The 17,605-nt window shown below is 39.4% G+C and overlaps 1 protein-coding gene across 1 annotated transcript in view; it reads right to left on the bottom strand.

Annotated features, from left to right (window-relative positions):
- SDK1 (sidekick cell adhesion molecule 1) overlaps positions 1–17,605 on the bottom strand; it is a 967,749-nt gene that overhangs the window by 646,286 nt on the left and 303,858 nt on the right. The window contains exon 2 of the mRNA NM_152744.4: positions 3,476–3,635. Within this exon, the coding sequence (NP_689957.3) occupies positions 3,476–3,635 (160 nt within the window). The remainder of the gene's footprint in view (positions 1–3,475; positions 3,636–17,605) is intronic.

Below are 17,605 nucleotides of genomic sequence, written 5' to 3'. Positions count from 1 at the left end.
TCCCTCAATCTTGCTTCAATACAACCAACAACGTTTTGTCTTCTTGTGTTTCCAATGAACAAATACATATGCAAGGGCTCTTAAGAATACAAAGAGTGTTCCACCTCTTCCTGCAGTTTTAAGTTGACTGCAAGTTGTCTTATAATTCTGAAAGGTTGCATATATAACAGTTTTTTGTACACTTTGGCATTTAAAATAAAGCCGTTACACCATTTTTTTAAAATTTTGTTTTTGGAGATGGAGTCTCACTCTGTAGCCCAGGCTGGAGTGCAGTGGTGCGATCCTGGCTCACTGCAACCTCTGCCTCCTGGGCTCAAGCGATTCTCCTGCCTCAGCCTCCCAAGTAGCTGGGATTACAGGCATGCGCCACCATGCCTGGCTAATTTTTGTATTTTTAGTAGAGATGGGGTTTCACCATGTTTGCCAGGCTGGTGGTGTCGAACTCCTGACCTCAAATGATCCGCCTGCCTCACCCTCCCAAAGTGCTGAGATTACAGGTGTGAGCCACTGCGCCGGGCCTACAAAATTGTTTTAAATTGAAATGCTGCTAGCCTTATGAAGGTGTTATGTCCCAATAAACTTAGCGTATGTTGAAAATACCCTAGGTCAAAAATGCATTTAACATACCTACCCTCATAGACACCACGGTTTAGCCTAGCCTATATTAAGCATGCTCCGAACACTAATATCAGCCTACAAATGGGCAAAATCATCCAACACAAAGCCTGCTTTATAATAAACTGTTGAATATCTCATGTGACTTATTAAATACTATAAAGTAAAAAACAGAAGGGTTTCTCAACTGCGTAAAGTCAAAAAATTGTTAAGTTGAACCATCGTAAGTTGGGGACCCTCTGTATATTCAACGATTTGCAAATAATAGTTTGAGACCCATATTATCCATTTAAAAATCAAAAGAATTCTTTAATAGTGGGAACTTTGATATTACTCTGTCTTACTCTTGCACCCCCCAGAGAGAGTTCCACAGGAAGACTCAGATAAGGTACAGGTGCGCTTTCTCCTGGGATGGAGGAGAAACCACTATTACAGGTGGTCGGAAAAGAGAAATGGCTTGGTGCCTACACAAAGGCCTGTTCTTGGGGAATTCAGTTTCAGAAAACATCCATGTGGAAACTGAAGATCTAGGAAACAATTCCTTTCCCGCCATCCAAGGCGTGTAGCCTGGCCACCAGGCCACTGTCACACACTGTCCACATCATGCCTACTTCTTATTAGGAAGAACAATCTGGGTTCTTTGAAACTCCATTCCTTTCTTTCTGGGGCATACAAAGCACTATGTAATTTAATTTTTAAGAGAACTCTCATAAAAATGAGGGTGATGTGGGCCTTACTGTACTCATTTTTCCAATGGAAAAAGATCAACATTAGATAACTTGTCCAAAGTCACACCGGTAAGTTGAAGAGCAAGTCCCTGAACTCCAGTCTTCTGTTATCAGTCACTACTCAAACATGGTTCTCAACTCTAAGTTCACTTTTTCTGTTTCTGCTTTCTTACACCCCTTCTAACAAACTGAGCCTTACAATGTCACATGGTAATAATGTATAATGCTGCCTACGATCACTAGAGCCTTCAATGCTCACAACACTGCAAATGAGGAGGGATCTTTCCCATTTTGCAAACGCTTACGTCACTCTCTTTTCACTTACGGGAGGGGAGGGCTCATGGGTCACCTGCCTAAAGTTATAACACCATTGCTCAGGTGTGGTGGAGCTGAATTCTGCCAGTCCTAGGATTCAGGACTGTTTGATTTCAACATGCTATGATCTACTATGATAAACTTTTCCTCGAGTGTAGATCCTCCAACAGGGTAGGCCCAATAATGTAAGCAGTCACACACTCACTTGTCTAAAGTGTGGGTGGGTAATGGGAATGGGGAGAGCAAGTGAGGTGCTACAAGGGACGGGGCTGCCAGAGAGCACCGAGGAGAACCAGGGAGTGTCCATGCCTTTGATGGGGGCAGCTCTGCTCAGCCGCCTGCTCCTGATTGGGGCTGCAGACCAGGCAGCCAGGCCTTCTGACTGGTCTGCAGAGGCTGGGAAGCAAGGTTTTTACAGAAAATCTTAGAACTGTCAAATGTTGGCAGCTAATAAAAAAATATGCTGTGGCTCACACCTGTAATCCCAGCAATCTGGCAGGCCAAGGCAGGCAGATCACCTGAGGTCAGGAGTTTGAGACAAGCCTGGTCAACATGGTGAAACCCCATCTCTACTAAAAATACAAAAATTAGCCAGGTGTGGTGGCTCACGCCTGTAGAACCAGCTACTTGGGAGGCTGAGGCAGGAGAATCATTTGAACCCAGAAGGTGGAGGTTGCAGTGAGCCAAGATCGCGCCACTGCACTCCAGCCTGGGCAACAAGAGTGAAACTCCGTCTCAAATTAAAAAAAAAAAAAATGCTGTAAGCATTCTCATATTTTTTTTAATTGATTTTTAAAATACAAACACACAGACAACTGACACACACATAAATTCTGGGCAGGCTGAGTGTGGTTCCACGGACCACCGTATCACAACCTCAGAGGTAAAGAGAGTGAGTGGGTGGGCTATTCCCCATTTGAGAAGCTTGTTATTCCACTTAAAATGCCTCTATACAGCCCACTCTTTCTTATTTCATCTAAAGAAAAGCATGGCAGCGATGATTTTGCTGATTTGCTGATGGTGAGGCCTCCTGGACTTTTCTGGCATGCTAGTTCTCCATCCTGCACAGAACTGCAGCATGTAATATTATCATCCTCAAAAGTATACCCCTGGAAAGCTCTGAAGCGTGGTAAGACCCTGAGGCTCCAAAGGCTGTGCTACTGCCTCCAGGTGAATCTACACCTCAGTCTTACCCTGATCTTGTGCTCTGCCACAGGTTCAGGCCCTCTGTCCCCACATCATGTCCACCCCAGTGCATCAGATCCCTGGTGACTGGCACAGTGCTGGGCACATGGCAGGACTTCAATATATACTGTTTTATTGCTGCTGAATATACAGGCTGTATGCATGCCCATTCTCCATGATTCCATCCATCCCTATCTCCACTTGAAAACAGCTAGGAAAGACTTTTGCTGACTACTCAGAGCTCCAGAAGCTACCATACTAAAGATCTGTTTAAACATTTGTGCCTAGACAGGAGCAATACTTGTGGGTAGGGCTGTTGCCCTTGGAAAGTAAATGTATCATACCAAAGCTGTTATTGGCATTGCTCTGTAACCATAGGTTTTTGTTGACTGATAATTTCACTAATGGGCTTACTTTTACAAATATAATGATAGACTTCCTAGGTGTAAGTACAACCTATATCAGAATAGTAAATCACATTCTAATTACATATTCAAATCTATTCCTTTAATCTTGAATGCATTAGAAATTCAATCCAATATTTTCACTCATTGTGCTATTATGACCAGTAAGGCAAGTATTCCAAACACATCAACTGAAATGGGATCTTATTTTTTCAAGCGATCAATTACTTATATTCGCTGCTGTAGGTGGTGAGCTCACTGTCATCGCGCATCCACTTGAACTCCAAAGGCCAGCTCCCTTCGGCAAGGCAGGTGAGAACAAGGCGGTTCCCTTCCAGGTGGATCTGTGGTAGGCCTGGCTCCGTTTTAAAATATGGAGCAACATCATCTGAAATATTAAAAAACAAAACAAAACAAAACTGAAGTACGCATGAAAGTGGCACTCATCTAATTTAATAAATCTATTATTTAAACAAACGTAATATTAAAATGAAAGTGATGGCTGTTTGGCCCAATTAAGAAGTAAATAATCCTTTACCAAACCCTGGAAACATGCAATACCCCAGATAATATTTCAAAAAGCTGAAAGCTCAATGATACCCGCATTTGAAAGCATCTGACAGGTTCATCCAAGTTATTTCCACTTATGGTTAATAGCTTATTGAAGGGACATATCGGACAATCCCTGTACATACAAGCTTTTGGTTTTAACTAGGCAATCTATTTGCGAGAAAACAGTCAAGTGTATGCAGGCTATAAAAGAGAAGTTTCCTCTATAACCTTCAATTGGTTTTAAAAAAGTAAGATAAGCAAGATTGACATACATACATAAACGACATGAATCGCAACCTAGCTTTCCTTTCATACACACGTGGAAATGGTCTCTCCTGGTGACTTTCAATGGGATACAACACAGGAAACTCATGGTATATTCACATAATGGAACAGCGCACTGCAGCGAGAATGCAGCAACAATTGCTACACATAGCAACACAGGTAAATCCCACACACATCAAGCCGAGTGAAAGAAGCCAGACAGAATTTTCAAAAAAGCTTATAGCATGTGCTACTATTCAAAAGTTCATAAAAGTTCACAGCCAGATAAAACTAATCTATGGTGTCAGAGGTTAAGGATAAGGGTTACCTCTGAGGGATGGGATAGCGACGGGGGTGAAGGTAATGGGATGGCTTATGAAAAGCAGGTCAAAATTTATTTCCTGATGTGGTTACAAAGGTACATTTACTTTGTGAAAATGGAGAGAATACTAGATATGATTTGTCAATGTTTTGTAGATCTGTTTCAATAACATTTTTTAATATGGATGCAGCACACTTGGCTTCTAGCTGTAGCATCACTAATTAGCTACCTGATCCTCATCAGGACTTACAGGTTTTTGTTTCTTTATCAGCAAAATAAACAGGATTATATGACTCGTCATTTTTCTACAAAAGTCCCCAAGATCCACCTGCATAATCAGCTTTCTAACTTTCATTCAGGCCTCCTCCCCTCTCTGCTCACACCGAGCACTCCAGGCACACTTCACTTCTTGCACATTTAAACCCAAGCCAAGCTCTTTCCTAGAGTTACGGTCTGAATGTCCCCTCCAAAACTCATGATGAAATGTGATGGCCATTCTAACAGTAATAAGAGGCAGGACCTTGAGGATATGATTAGGTCATGCAGGCTCTACCTTCAGGAATGGATTAATGCTGATACTGTGGGAGGGAGTTAGTTATCAAGGGAGAGGGGTCCTAATAAAAAGGGTAAGTTGGGCCCCCATCCTCTGTCTCATGCACTCCCTTGACCTTCTGACTTCCATGACAGGATGATATAGCACAAAGGGCCTCCCCAGATGAACTGCCATGTTGTTGAACTGTCCAGCCTCTAGAACCAAGAGTCAAATATACTTCCATCATTTTTGAATCACCCAGTCTGTTACAGCAGCAGAAAACGGAGTGAGACACCTACTGTGGGGCCTTCCCACTTGGTCTTTCCTCTACCTAGGATGCTCTGTGCATGCTCATCTTTGCTCATCCTTCAGGTTAACTAAAGCTCCTCCTGCACAATATGCTCTAACAAGTCATTATGTTTATTCCATTTACAATAGTTATCAGATACTGAAATTAAAGTGTTTGTAGGTTACTCTACAGTACATTAGTCTTGATCACTTCTGAATTCCTAGCACCTAGAACAATGCCAGGAACTAAGGGGATAGCTAATAAATATCTGTTGAATGAATAAATATAATAACACTAATATCAGCAATAGCTAGTATTTATTATTTACTTTGTGCTGGAAACCATTCTAAATGCCTTATATATATATTAACCTATTTCTCACAAAAGCCCTATAACATAGATGTCATCATTATACCCATTTTAAGAATGAATAAACAGAAGCATGGAGAAGTTAAATAACTTGCTCAATGCTACCCAGTCAGTAGGCAGTGAAGTCATGATTTAAATCCAGATAATCTAGCTCCAGAATCTACCAATTCTATATATTTTGACTCCAAATGTCACATATTTCCTTAATACGGAAAATTTCTTTTCAAGAAGTCATACTCAACTTTAAATTTTTGGTAATTTATTTGTGACATTACTAAGCTGTTCTTATAAACTACTGTACATTTAATAAACATCAAGTAGCACATTAGAAATGTTAACACTGAAACTAGTTGCACATTAAACTATAGTGTATAAACTGAATATATAGAATTTAAATATAAATACATAGGTTATTTTGTCATTTTGTTGATCACTATATTCCATCATAATTGGTATATTAGTAATACAATATTACCAACCTCTCACAAGTATTTATTCATTTATTCATTCAAATAAATAAATATTAAATTGCATCTATGAGTACGGCAAGAACTTACAGTAGGAGATTTAACCTAGTCGATGAGATGAAATGCAGGAGCTGAGAACAAAAGTGTTGGCAGCACTCCAAACCGTTAAGCAGGCCCTCTGGTGGGAGCAAACATGGCGAGTACCCTTGGGCAGTACGAAAGAGTGAACAGCAAGACTTTCTGCAGGTGCAAAGAGAGTGACTGGAAGTGGGATGAGCAGGGCCAGGTTGTGCAGGGCCTTGCAGGCAGGGCCACACGTGTTCTGGTTCCCACCTCATCGTTGCGTGACTGTCCATGCTGCCCACCTCACATTCAAGTGTCCGAGTATTAACAACGTGTGTGATCACCCTATTTATAACCTTGTAAAAAGTACTGTCAATATGATAATGATGATGATGATGATGATTAGCTCTTACTACAAAAGGACAGCCAGTTGTGGTGGCTTATGCCTATAATCCCAACACTTTGGGAGGCTGAGGCGGAAGGATTGCTTGAGCTCGAGTGCAAGACCAGCTTGGACAACACAGTGAGACCCCATCTCCACAAAAAGTTTTTTAAAAAATTAGCCAGTGTGGTGATATACACCTGCAGTCCCAGCTACTAAGGAAGCTGAGGTGGAGGGATTACTTGACCCAAGGAAGTCAAGGCTGCAGTGAGCCGTGATTGTGCCACTGCACTCCAGCCTGGCAGTGTGGGTGACAGACCAAGACCCTGTCTCAGAAAAAAAAAAAAAGACAGCAAAAAGCCTTTGAAGAGGTTGTGTGATTGTGTTGTTAAAAGAACATTCTGGCTGTAATGTGAGAAGGAAAAAAAGAGGGCGTGGAATAGTGGGAGGACACCAGTCCAGAGGCCACTGCAGTGATCCGCTTTAAAGCAATAGTTAGGTGGGAAAAAGATTCAGTGATAGATTGGTTATGGATGTGAGGGAGAGGGAGATGTCAAGAAGGATTCTTATGTCTCTGACTTGTACAACTTTCTGTTCAATAAACATGCACTGATGCTATGTACCAGCCTCTGTAATCAGCATTGAGAATACAAAGTGTAAGACACAGTCGCTGTCCCTTAAGCGCTTATAATCTAGGTCTGATGCAGGAATGTAAGCAGTAAAGTGTTAGATGCTGTGACAGCACATGTAACTCAAAGTCAGGAGTTGTCGAGCCTTGTCCTGTTCCAAGAGTTCTGCCTGCTTCTGCTGCAACTGACATGCGTTAAGCTGTATATCAACTGCATTCTTAAATTTGAATGTAGCCATGTGTCCAATTTCCTTTTTCCTATGTACTTCAGCAAAAATCATCTCCTCTTATTACCCAAACAGTCTAATAAAGCTGAACTGCAATGGAGGTAGCTTTGATCCTGTGGGATTTACTGAGCTACAGGCTTTATTAATGTCTGGCCATTTGCACTCTGTTTAACAACAGAAAAAGAAATGCCACTTCATATGGTTCCAGTGTCCTACACGAATGAGTCATAGAAAACATACATCTTTTCGAAAGGGAAAAGCTTCGAGATAGAAACTCAAAAATCTGAATTTGGTTTTGCTATTGATAGAGCATCATCATTTTAATATAGTATACAACGGATTTGAATTAAAATGATACTACAACTCAATTTTTCATGGACTTTATAGTTAAACAAACATGCCTATACCATGTACAAATTATAAGGCTGGATACTGTGAGCTGGTAGGAAAAAAAAAGCTCATTTTAAAGAATGGTTTCATATAGCTGGCAAGCAAATATCTCGAGATCCAAATGGCCGTAAAATTATGGTTAGCACAGACACTAACATTCATTATAAGGAGAAGGGAAGGGAAAATATGTCAACACCCTGGAATTTTAAGCGTTCAAATTAAAATCATAACGACACGTATTTTGACATAGATTAGCCAAGGTGGGGAATAGCACTTCTCTGAGCCCAGCACTATTTACCATTGAAATACATACAGTAGGTAAACAAGTTAAAAGAGGGCATTAAGGTAACAAAACACAAAACTTTGGGGACAGAAAGGGAGAAAGAAGGATCAGTATTCAAGTCTGCACAGATGCCCTGCAAAAGCATTTGATCTTTACATACTTTAAATGGGAAAGAGAACATCCTGAAATGATTCATAAAGAAAATGATTGAGTTGCCTCTAAGGTAAAGTTATAAAACTCTGACCTGGGGAAAAGCCAATGGCCCACATATTAATCTTTGAAGGGTGTGTGTGTATTTCAAATAATAATAGACATTCCCTTCCTCAGGAAAATGAGCAGACGTTAGGAATACTTCTGTATTCTAACAACGAACATTAGAAGACCCTAGAATAAATTACTAAGGAAAAGTGAAATTTCCATTTTCATATAGAAAGTGTTCTATTCTTAAAATAGAACATAAATCATTTATGAAAGAGAGAGTCTCATCTGTGTGGATAATATAGGTTTAAGGTCTGCCCAAAGGACAGGAATAGACTTAACATTGTCTCAAGACAACATCATAATTTTTAACTTTTAAGTTCAGGTTCAGCAGGATGTGCAGGTTTGTTACATAGGTAAACTTGTGCTATGGGGGTTTGTTGTACAGATTATTTCATCACCCAGGTATTAAGCCTAGTATCCATTGTTACTCTTCCTGATCCTCTCCCCGCTCTCATCCTCCACGCTCCAACAGGACTCAATGTGTGTTGTTCCCCTCTCTGTGTCCATGTGTTCTCATCATTTACCTCCCACTTATAGGAGGAGAACATGTGGTATTTGGTTTTCTGTTCCTGTGTTAGTTTGCTAATGATGGCCTCCAGCTCCATCCATCTCCCTGCAAAGGACATGATCTGCATAGTTTTTATGGCTGCGTAGTATTCCATGGTGTATATGTACCACATTTTCTTTATCCAGTCTATCATTGATGGGTATTTGGGTTGATTCCATGTCATTGCTATTGGGAACATATGTGTCTTTGTGTCTCTATAATAGAACGATTTATATTCCTCTGGGTGTATACCCAGTGATGTAATTGCTGGGTCAAACGGTATTTCTGTCTTTAGGTCTTTGAGGAATCACCACACTGTCTTCCACAATGGCTGAACTAATTTACACTCCCACCATTAGAGAAATGCAAATCAAAACCAAAATAAGCTACCAGTTAGAATGCCTGTAACTCAAAAGCCAAAAAATAAGAGGTGCTGGAGAGGTTGTGGAGAAAAAGGAAGGCTTACACAACATCATAATTTTATGTGAAGATGACACTTCCCTAAGTAAACATTTAAGGTTTTCAGATCCAATGTAAATGTATTTAATGTTACCTCTCCAATGTGAGAATAATCTTCTGCTCATCTAGAAAGGGACCATGACCCATCTATCTGCAGAGGAAAAATCATTCACATGGGCAGCAGCTGGAGCCTACTACCTCATCCTGCGTCCCCCGGCTTCCCTAACATCAAGAAAGGGGGTCTTGCGATGGATTTTCATTGCTGTTCCACAACAGCTAAAATTAAGTCGTATCATCTGAAACCCTTCAACGGCAGAATGAATAGGAATCAACTATGAGGTATCAAGCAAGTTGAACTGCAAGTTCTTCTTTTGACTCTGCCCAAGAGAGCTTCCACTAGGATAATCATCACCTATTTGATAATTTGCCCTTTTCTCCTGCATTTTAAAGAGATAATGAATAAAGAAATAATCAACCTCCACTTAGCAGAAGAATCAACTGTACCACAAACAAGGGGGGTGGGGGGTAGTCTGTGAAGCCCACAAAGTCCACGTGTCCCGGTGAAGTGACGATGAGCTGTATTAAGCCATCATAATCAGCACCGTCAATCAGGTGCGAGTCCAGCCGGGAGGACCAGAATGCCAGTGTGAATGGAGTAATCAGCCAGGGCAGGTTATTACTGAACTCCGCTTTTGCCACAGCTGAATTTCCCAGGGCGACTAATCTTTCAGTTTAAACCACTAATCTTCCTTTCAAAACTTCTTTTATATCAAATTCAAACATTTTCATGCCCCAAGCTTATGAATTTACCATGAGCGAAAAGTTTTATTTTTCAAATTCCAGGGAGAAACAAAAGCACAGGGCAGAATGTATCATTTGTGAACAACTATTCTGAGAAATGTGGGTAGAAGATCCTTTTCTGGTAAGTGTAGTCATTCAAATTTCAGCTGCTGGCAGTTCATTATGTATACCTATTGAAGCCAGGAATTTAATCTCACAGTGCAATGTGCTTTCTTCATAATAGTAATATCAATCTTTTTAAGGACAACAATTATGATTTTCAAATGTACTTCTGGGGTGAGGTTTAAATAGATAACTAGATATGTGCCACTCTAGTTAAATATGCAAATATAGACAGGTCCACATTATGATGCTGTAAGAGGATCCTATGATAGGATTTTTAATTTTTTTATTTCCATAGGTGTTTGGGGAATAGGTGGTGTTTGGTTACACGAGTAAGTTCTTTAGTGGTGATTTGTGAGATTTTGGTACACTCATCACCTGAGCAGTGTACACTGTACCCAATGTGTAGTCGTATCCCTCACCCCCGTCCCACCCTTTCCCACAAGTCCCCAAAGTCCATTGTATCATTCTTAGGCATCCTCACAGCTTAGCTCCCACTTAGGAGTGAGAAGATACAATGTTTGGTTTTCCATTCCCCAGTTACTTCACTTAGAATAATGGTCTCCAGTTCCAGCCAGGTAGCTGTGAATGCCATTATTTCACTCCTTTTCAGAGCTGAATAGTATTCCATGGTCGTACTAATTTACATTCTCACCACCAGTGTAAAAGTGTTCCCTTTTCACCCCATCACCACAATCATCTATTATTTTTTGATTTTTTCATTATGGCCATTTTTGCCGGAGTAAGGAGGCATAGCATTGTGGTTTCGATTTGCATTTTCCTGATCAATAGCCATAATTTTTCAAAAATCAAAAAATAATAGATGTTGGCAGGGACGTGGTGAAAAGGGAACACTTTTACACTGCTGCTAGGAATGTAAACTAGCACGACCACTATGGAAAACAGTGTGAAGATTCCCTAAAGAACTGAAAGTAGAACTACCCTTTCATCTAGCAATCCCACTCCTGGGTATCTACCCAGAGGAAAAGAAGGCATTACACGAAAAAGAGACCTATGATTGTTTTAGGACAAAGTCCTCTATCTGCTAAGCTGAGAAAAGGCAGTGAGGACAGGGCAGTTCAGGCTGCCCTTTTTGTCACCACCCAAGTAAGTCGTTTGGTTATTAAATGTGAACTAGAGGCGGCGGTGCAAGAGGAGGAAGAGCAGGAGGAGAAAGGAGAAAAAGGACATAAACGAATGGTACATACTAATTCCCAAACTATGTAATTCTCCCTCCAGTGAAAAGAGTTGGCTCTATTATCACAGCAAATTCCCAGGCTTTGTTTCTTTAGCTTATCATAAATATTTCTAAATACTTCCCAGTGGTAGACTTTCAAATATACTTAGATGTACCATCATCTTCTGTCAATCTAAAAAATAAATAAATAAATTACCCACCCAACTTCTCTGTATTTTACCTTATCTCTCTCTACTACTGCCTTGTAAAATAAATGTCAGACATTTCAGGATGAAAGGCAGCTACAATTGAAAGAATATATCTCTTATTTCAAACAAAAAAACTAACACAAGTCAAAGATTGTGCTGCGTATTCCTTGATCTCACCACAAAGTCATCATTTTGTACTCAAAAATCTGACTAACAAGTGTGGGATTTTCTCCAAGTAATTTGTCCCTGGTGTCCTCTCCATATTTGAGTCAGTCCATGTGAAAACAGAGAAAGCAGGAGGGTCCCTGAGATTTCCATTAAACAGCACTGTGAATAGTTTGCCTATGCAGTCAGCCAGTGGGGAAGTCAAACTGATTCTCTGTTTTCTCTGAAATCAATGCAAATTAACACCATATTTAAGGGAACTCTGGGGGTAAACCTACCCTTCCAATATTTTCCCCTAAGAAACCATTCAAGCTTCCAGTGAGATTAATCCACAATTGAAGCTGATGGTAGAAACATATATGGCTATATTTATGTACTAGTTTTATCTTGCACTGTGCTAATCTATTTCAGTATATAAATTAATAAGACACAGTGGGATAAATACAATTCCCGTTTCTCCAAACTGAAATAAGCTTCCAGCTCTCCAATATTTTACTTCAAAGTAGAAGTATACTGAACTGTCATTTCTATGGTTTGTAGTGAAAAAGTATGACCAACCAAAATAAGAGTAAGGTTATCAGAAATAACCAACATTATTCTTGAATATGGCACAATATTTCTTTCAAAGATTCTTTCGAATAATCTTAAGAAATCAACCCTGATTAAATAAAAAACTGAAAGGTCCAAGAAAAGAATCTCAAATATGATTTACCTTCTCCTGCTTATCTGTTTGCTGGTGAGTTTACGGCAAATATGTACTGCCATAAAAACTGAGATGTAACAGATATCCACATGGTGAAGGTTTAATTTTATATCAAGAAATTACATGAGAAAATAACTTGAAAGGACATCTAAGTCCAACCAAAGCTTATTGATTTTAGCAAAGTTACAAACCATGGAGGTTTCTCAAGAAGTAATAATATGTGATTTGAGTTTAGAGCAAGTACTTTGGAGCCCTGGGTTCAAATCCCAGCTCTATGCCAGGTATGATGGCTCCTGCCTATGATCCCAGCACTTTGGGAGGCTGAGGTGGGCGGATCACCTGAGGTCAGGAGTTTGAGACCAGTCTGGCCAACACGGCAAGACCCCATCTCTACTAAAAACACAAAAATTAGCTGGGCATGATGGTGTGTGCGTGTGGTCCCAGCTACCTGTGAGTCTGAGGCAGGAGAATCGCTTGAACCCAGGAGGCAAAGGTTGCAGTGAGCCAAGATCGTGCCACTGCACTCTAGCCTGGGTAAGGGAGTGAGACTCTGTCTTGGGTGGCGGGGGGTGGGGAGGCTGGGCACCGTAGCTTACGCCTATAATCCCAGCACTTTGGGAGGCTGAGGTGGACAGATCATAAGATCAGGAAATCGAGACCATCCTGGCAAACACAGTGAAACCCCATCTCTACTGAAAATACAAAAAATTAGCCGGGTATGGTGGCACGTGCCTGTAATCCCAGCTACTTGGGAGGCTGAGGCAGGAGAATCGTTTGAAACCGGGAAGCAGAGATTGCAGTGAGCAGAGATCACACCACTGCGCTCCAGCCTGGGCAACAGAGTGAGACTCTGTCTCAAAAAAAGAAAAAGAAAAAGAAAAATCCCAGCTCTCCCCTGACTAGCTCTGTGATCTTGGACAATCTACTTAACCCCTATGTCTGGGTTTCTCAATCAACAAAGCAATAGCACCAACTTCTTCAAGAGCAGCAGTTCTCAAAGTTTTTGGTCTCAGGATCCCTTTGCAACATACAAAAAAATTAAGGACACCTAAATTCTTGTTTATGTGACTTATTTCTTTCTGTATTTATCATATTAGAGAGTAAACCTGTGAACTTTAAAAAGTTATTAATTCCTTAAAAAATCAAAGTCATTACATTATTAATACAAAAGACATTTATGAAAAATAACTATATTATCCAAAAGAAAACTAAAAATTCTTAAGAGTGGCACTGTTTAACCCTTTTTCAAATTTTTCCAGTGTCTAGCTTAATAAAGGACAACTAGATTCTCACACCTGCTTCTGCATTTAGTCTCTTGTAATATGTTGTTTCAGTTGAAGGATATTAATAACATACAGCCTCCCAGATACATGGCTGGAAAGGAGGGGAGTATTTTAATTGCCTTTTCAAACAGCTGTGAATATTTTTGTTAATACTTTAGTAAAACTAAACAAGTGTCAGTTTCATAAAGGTTAGTTGCAACGCGGACTCTGAAACCGCATAAATGACACTTTGGTGCTTTGTTACATTAACATCTTTCAGACTGTCCTGTACTTGGAATGGATCTTATCCATACACATGTCTTTCCTGGTTCGCTGAGTGATGCAGACCTTCCAAACGTTGACACGTTTCATTATACAATGTAAAAAATATCACAAATTAACACAGCTACCTATCTCATCAGACACCTCCTTAAATAATGCGAAAGTGTCAAGCTCATGGTGGGCATATTCAAGGTTTCCAAAATGCTAATTTTTACTTATGAGCTCAATTTTTATCTTTAGCCACAAATACTGTCAGTTGTTTTCATTGATGCAACAAGCTTATTTTCTTCATTTTCAAGAAAATCCTGCAAAATACCCAAGTCTAAATTACCATAGTTTTTCTGTCAGTCACTACTTCAAGTAAAAATGGGGTGCCATGCAAAAAAGCAGCCAGTTCAACTCCCAGCTCGGACAACCTCCCAAATCCTTTGCCTTGAGACAACCGGCACATTTTGGCGTACAGCAGAAGAGTTTATATGTAATTCACATTTCGACACAGAATATTTTAATAATTTTATTTGAGTCAAAGCTTAATAGAATTAATAATTTTTACTACTTTAAGGCTATTTTTGAGAGAGCTAGATTTTGGTTTTTACTCATAGGTGTGTGGCACGGATGAGTAACACACCAGCTGGTGTAGTTTGGCACCACTGCCTCGGGATACGCGCTCAGGTGCCAGAAGTTTTCTCACGACTGCTTTTAAATCGTTGCCAAAAGCTCAACAAGGGGACAAAGTACAAAGGTCTATTCTGATGAAATGATTTTGGCCTTGTGGCCGCCCCCTGCAAAGGGGCTCAGGGTCTGCCACAGGTTCTTGAACCACACTTTGGGAACTGCTGCTCTAGACTTGTCTCAAGGATTAAATTACCCAATGTGTGCAGAATGCTTACGCCAGCACCTGCTAGAAAAGCACAATCTACGTGTTAGTTCCTATTAAAACATGTTGTCACAGAATGAAATTGCATCTTCCTACAGAATGCTGGATCTTGAACTTCATCCACAACACATTTACTTTTGGCTTTCTAAATAACACACATAAATCAGGCCACCGTCTTAAATGTCACTAACTATTAAGCCAAAGAAGTTGTTCAATTTAAAGAAAAGAAAGCATTCATACTTTCAATTACTTCAGAATTCTAGAGAAGTCTAGATATTGGTTTGATTATTTGCTCTGTCATTCAACAAATATTTCTTAAATACCTAGTAAACGTCTATGAAATGGGAACACAAATGAGAATTTTGAAAAAGGAACACAGAATAGGATCACACCTTCATGGAGCTTATCTTCTAGTTTAGGGAGATAAACAGGAAACAAAGAAAATATATAGTATAGTCGGTTTTACTAACGCACATATTTCTTTTATTCAAATTACTTCATATGTGGTTGAGAGATAGGAACTGATATTTGTATAACACAGAAGTTGTAGTGATTTATGTATGATTTCCCCCTGGAATATTAAGGATCTAAGGTGCTTATGAACAAGCTTTATCACTGAACCCAAAGGTGAGCCTTAAAATAAAAGGAAATGATCAGCAGCAGCAGCACAACAAATTACAATTTTAAAAACTAAAAAAAAAAAGGGCCTTCCTTTGTGTAGTGCAGGTAGTGACTAGTGGCCAGTTTAGGGGCTTCACAAACCACTTCACTTTCTATGACATTACACTATTGAGAGAAGTTGAAGGTGCATCTTGGAAGCCCTTTCTCTTTTTATCAAAACAGCAAATCAATGAAGAAAGTTACTAGTAGTATTATTTCTTTATTAGTGTCCTGATTGCAAAATTCCATAGATTTTTGAAGGTTTGTACATAACACTTTTTTCAGTGTTGTACATAACTTTTTTCATAAGTTGTGTTATTTTGGTTTATGATTTCACAGATTTTTTTTTTCAGGAAGACACATACAGAATAATAACAGAAACACCTTTATATAATGTAATGATAATGCTATAGAAAAAATAAAAGGAAGAAGAGGAAAAAAGAAATCTGGGGAAGAAGTGGCAATTTTCAACAAGGAAGATTGTTTTAAAAAGGCCTCGTTGAGAACGGGGTATCTGAGTAAGAAAGGGAAGCAGCTGATGAAGAGAGTCATGCACTCAGGTTTCCTGACAGCAGGAAAAGCAAGTACAAAGTCGCTGATGTGGGAGTCAGTCCACTGTGTTCTAAGACCAGCAGTGACACCAGGGTGGATGAAGTGCAGTGAGTGCGGGGGATGACAGATGAGGGTAAAAAGTAAGAGGAAGAAGTCTTATGGGACCCTGGACTTATAAGGGACAATGGAAGCCAATGGGGAAATTTTAGCAAAAGTTTGATAAGTTCTGACTTCACTACCTCACTCCGCACTCAACCCTGATGCAACTGGGCTACAAGTGCTGAAGCCGGGAGACCACTCAGGAGGCCATCTTGTTAATCCAGATGAGAAAGGACGGTCATTTGGTAAACTGGTTGCAGTAAAGGTGGCAATGGTTGATCAGACCTGGGGCCTAAGGGTGAAGCATAAGAGAAAAAGAAGAATCAATGATGATACCAAAATTTCTGGCCAGAAAAACCAGAAAGATGTAGTTGTCATTTCCCGAAATGGGAACTCATGATGGAAGGAGCTGGCTCAGAGGAAAAGAACAAGAGCTCAGTGTTGAACTTAGGATGTTTGAAATACCCACTAGACATCCACACAGAGCTGTTAAATTAGCAGTTAGATTCATGAAGTGTATGTTATTTTCACAAAAATGCAAAATTAACACCTTAGAAATTAATATCTTTCAAAAGTAACATCTGGAATTAGATAATTGGATCATTCCAAATCATAAATTTTATCTTAAAAAATCATCAATTAAAAAAAAAACTTTTGTCAAAGACATGAAACATACAAATTAAATGAACCAAAACAACTTAATTTGATCAGAAGTTAAAATTTAAATGTCCTAGACTATTTCAAAAACAAACCTAAAAATAGAAATCACCTTATCTAAAATAAAGATTTGCAAAAGCTCTGAAATAATTTTACTCTGAAACATTTTAATTCTCATTTTCTTACCAAGTATACCCAGTTGGTATCCCAAATCTAATTATGTAATCAGACATAGTGAAAATTACTCTGGAAAAAAAAAGGAAAATTAAATAGTAGGTGACATTTCTATTATTCAAGAGAGAAAAATGTACTGCCTAAATATATAATGGAATCAATAATTTAGGTGCATCATTTTAAACCATCAAGCTGTTCTTTAGCTTCCTTCCCAATAAGAAGGAAAAGTCAACATTATTAGTAAACAGGAAGGTCTTACATGCCTGAGCAATGAAGTAGATGAGACTCAGCAGTTCACTGACGACTGTGGGCATTTTTTCCTTGAGAATATTTTTCCTTAAGTGAAACATTATTTCTTCAAACCATAAAACAATCTAATAAGCACTGAGCTACGTATGCTTTCTCCTTACAGATAGAATTATACAGTAAAAACTTCCTGACAGCCTAAAATTCCACAATATATCCCTTTGGATTATTTAACTGTTCTTTCAAATGCCAAAACCACAAGGTGGAAAACAATTACATTATACAGTAGACATCACACCTAGTGTGTGTGTGTGTGTGTGTTTCTTGTTTTTTTTTTCCTCAAGTGCTATAGAGCAT

Source organism: Homo sapiens, chromosome 7 (genome assembly GCF_000001405.40).
Source record: "Homo sapiens chromosome 7, GRCh38.p14 Primary Assembly".
In the NCBI taxonomy this organism is placed as follows: domain Eukaryota; kingdom Metazoa; phylum Chordata; class Mammalia; order Primates; family Hominidae; genus Homo; species Homo sapiens.
The sequence above is the reverse complement of the archived record's forward strand: the minus strand, read 5'-3'. Positions and strand labels throughout refer to the sequence as shown.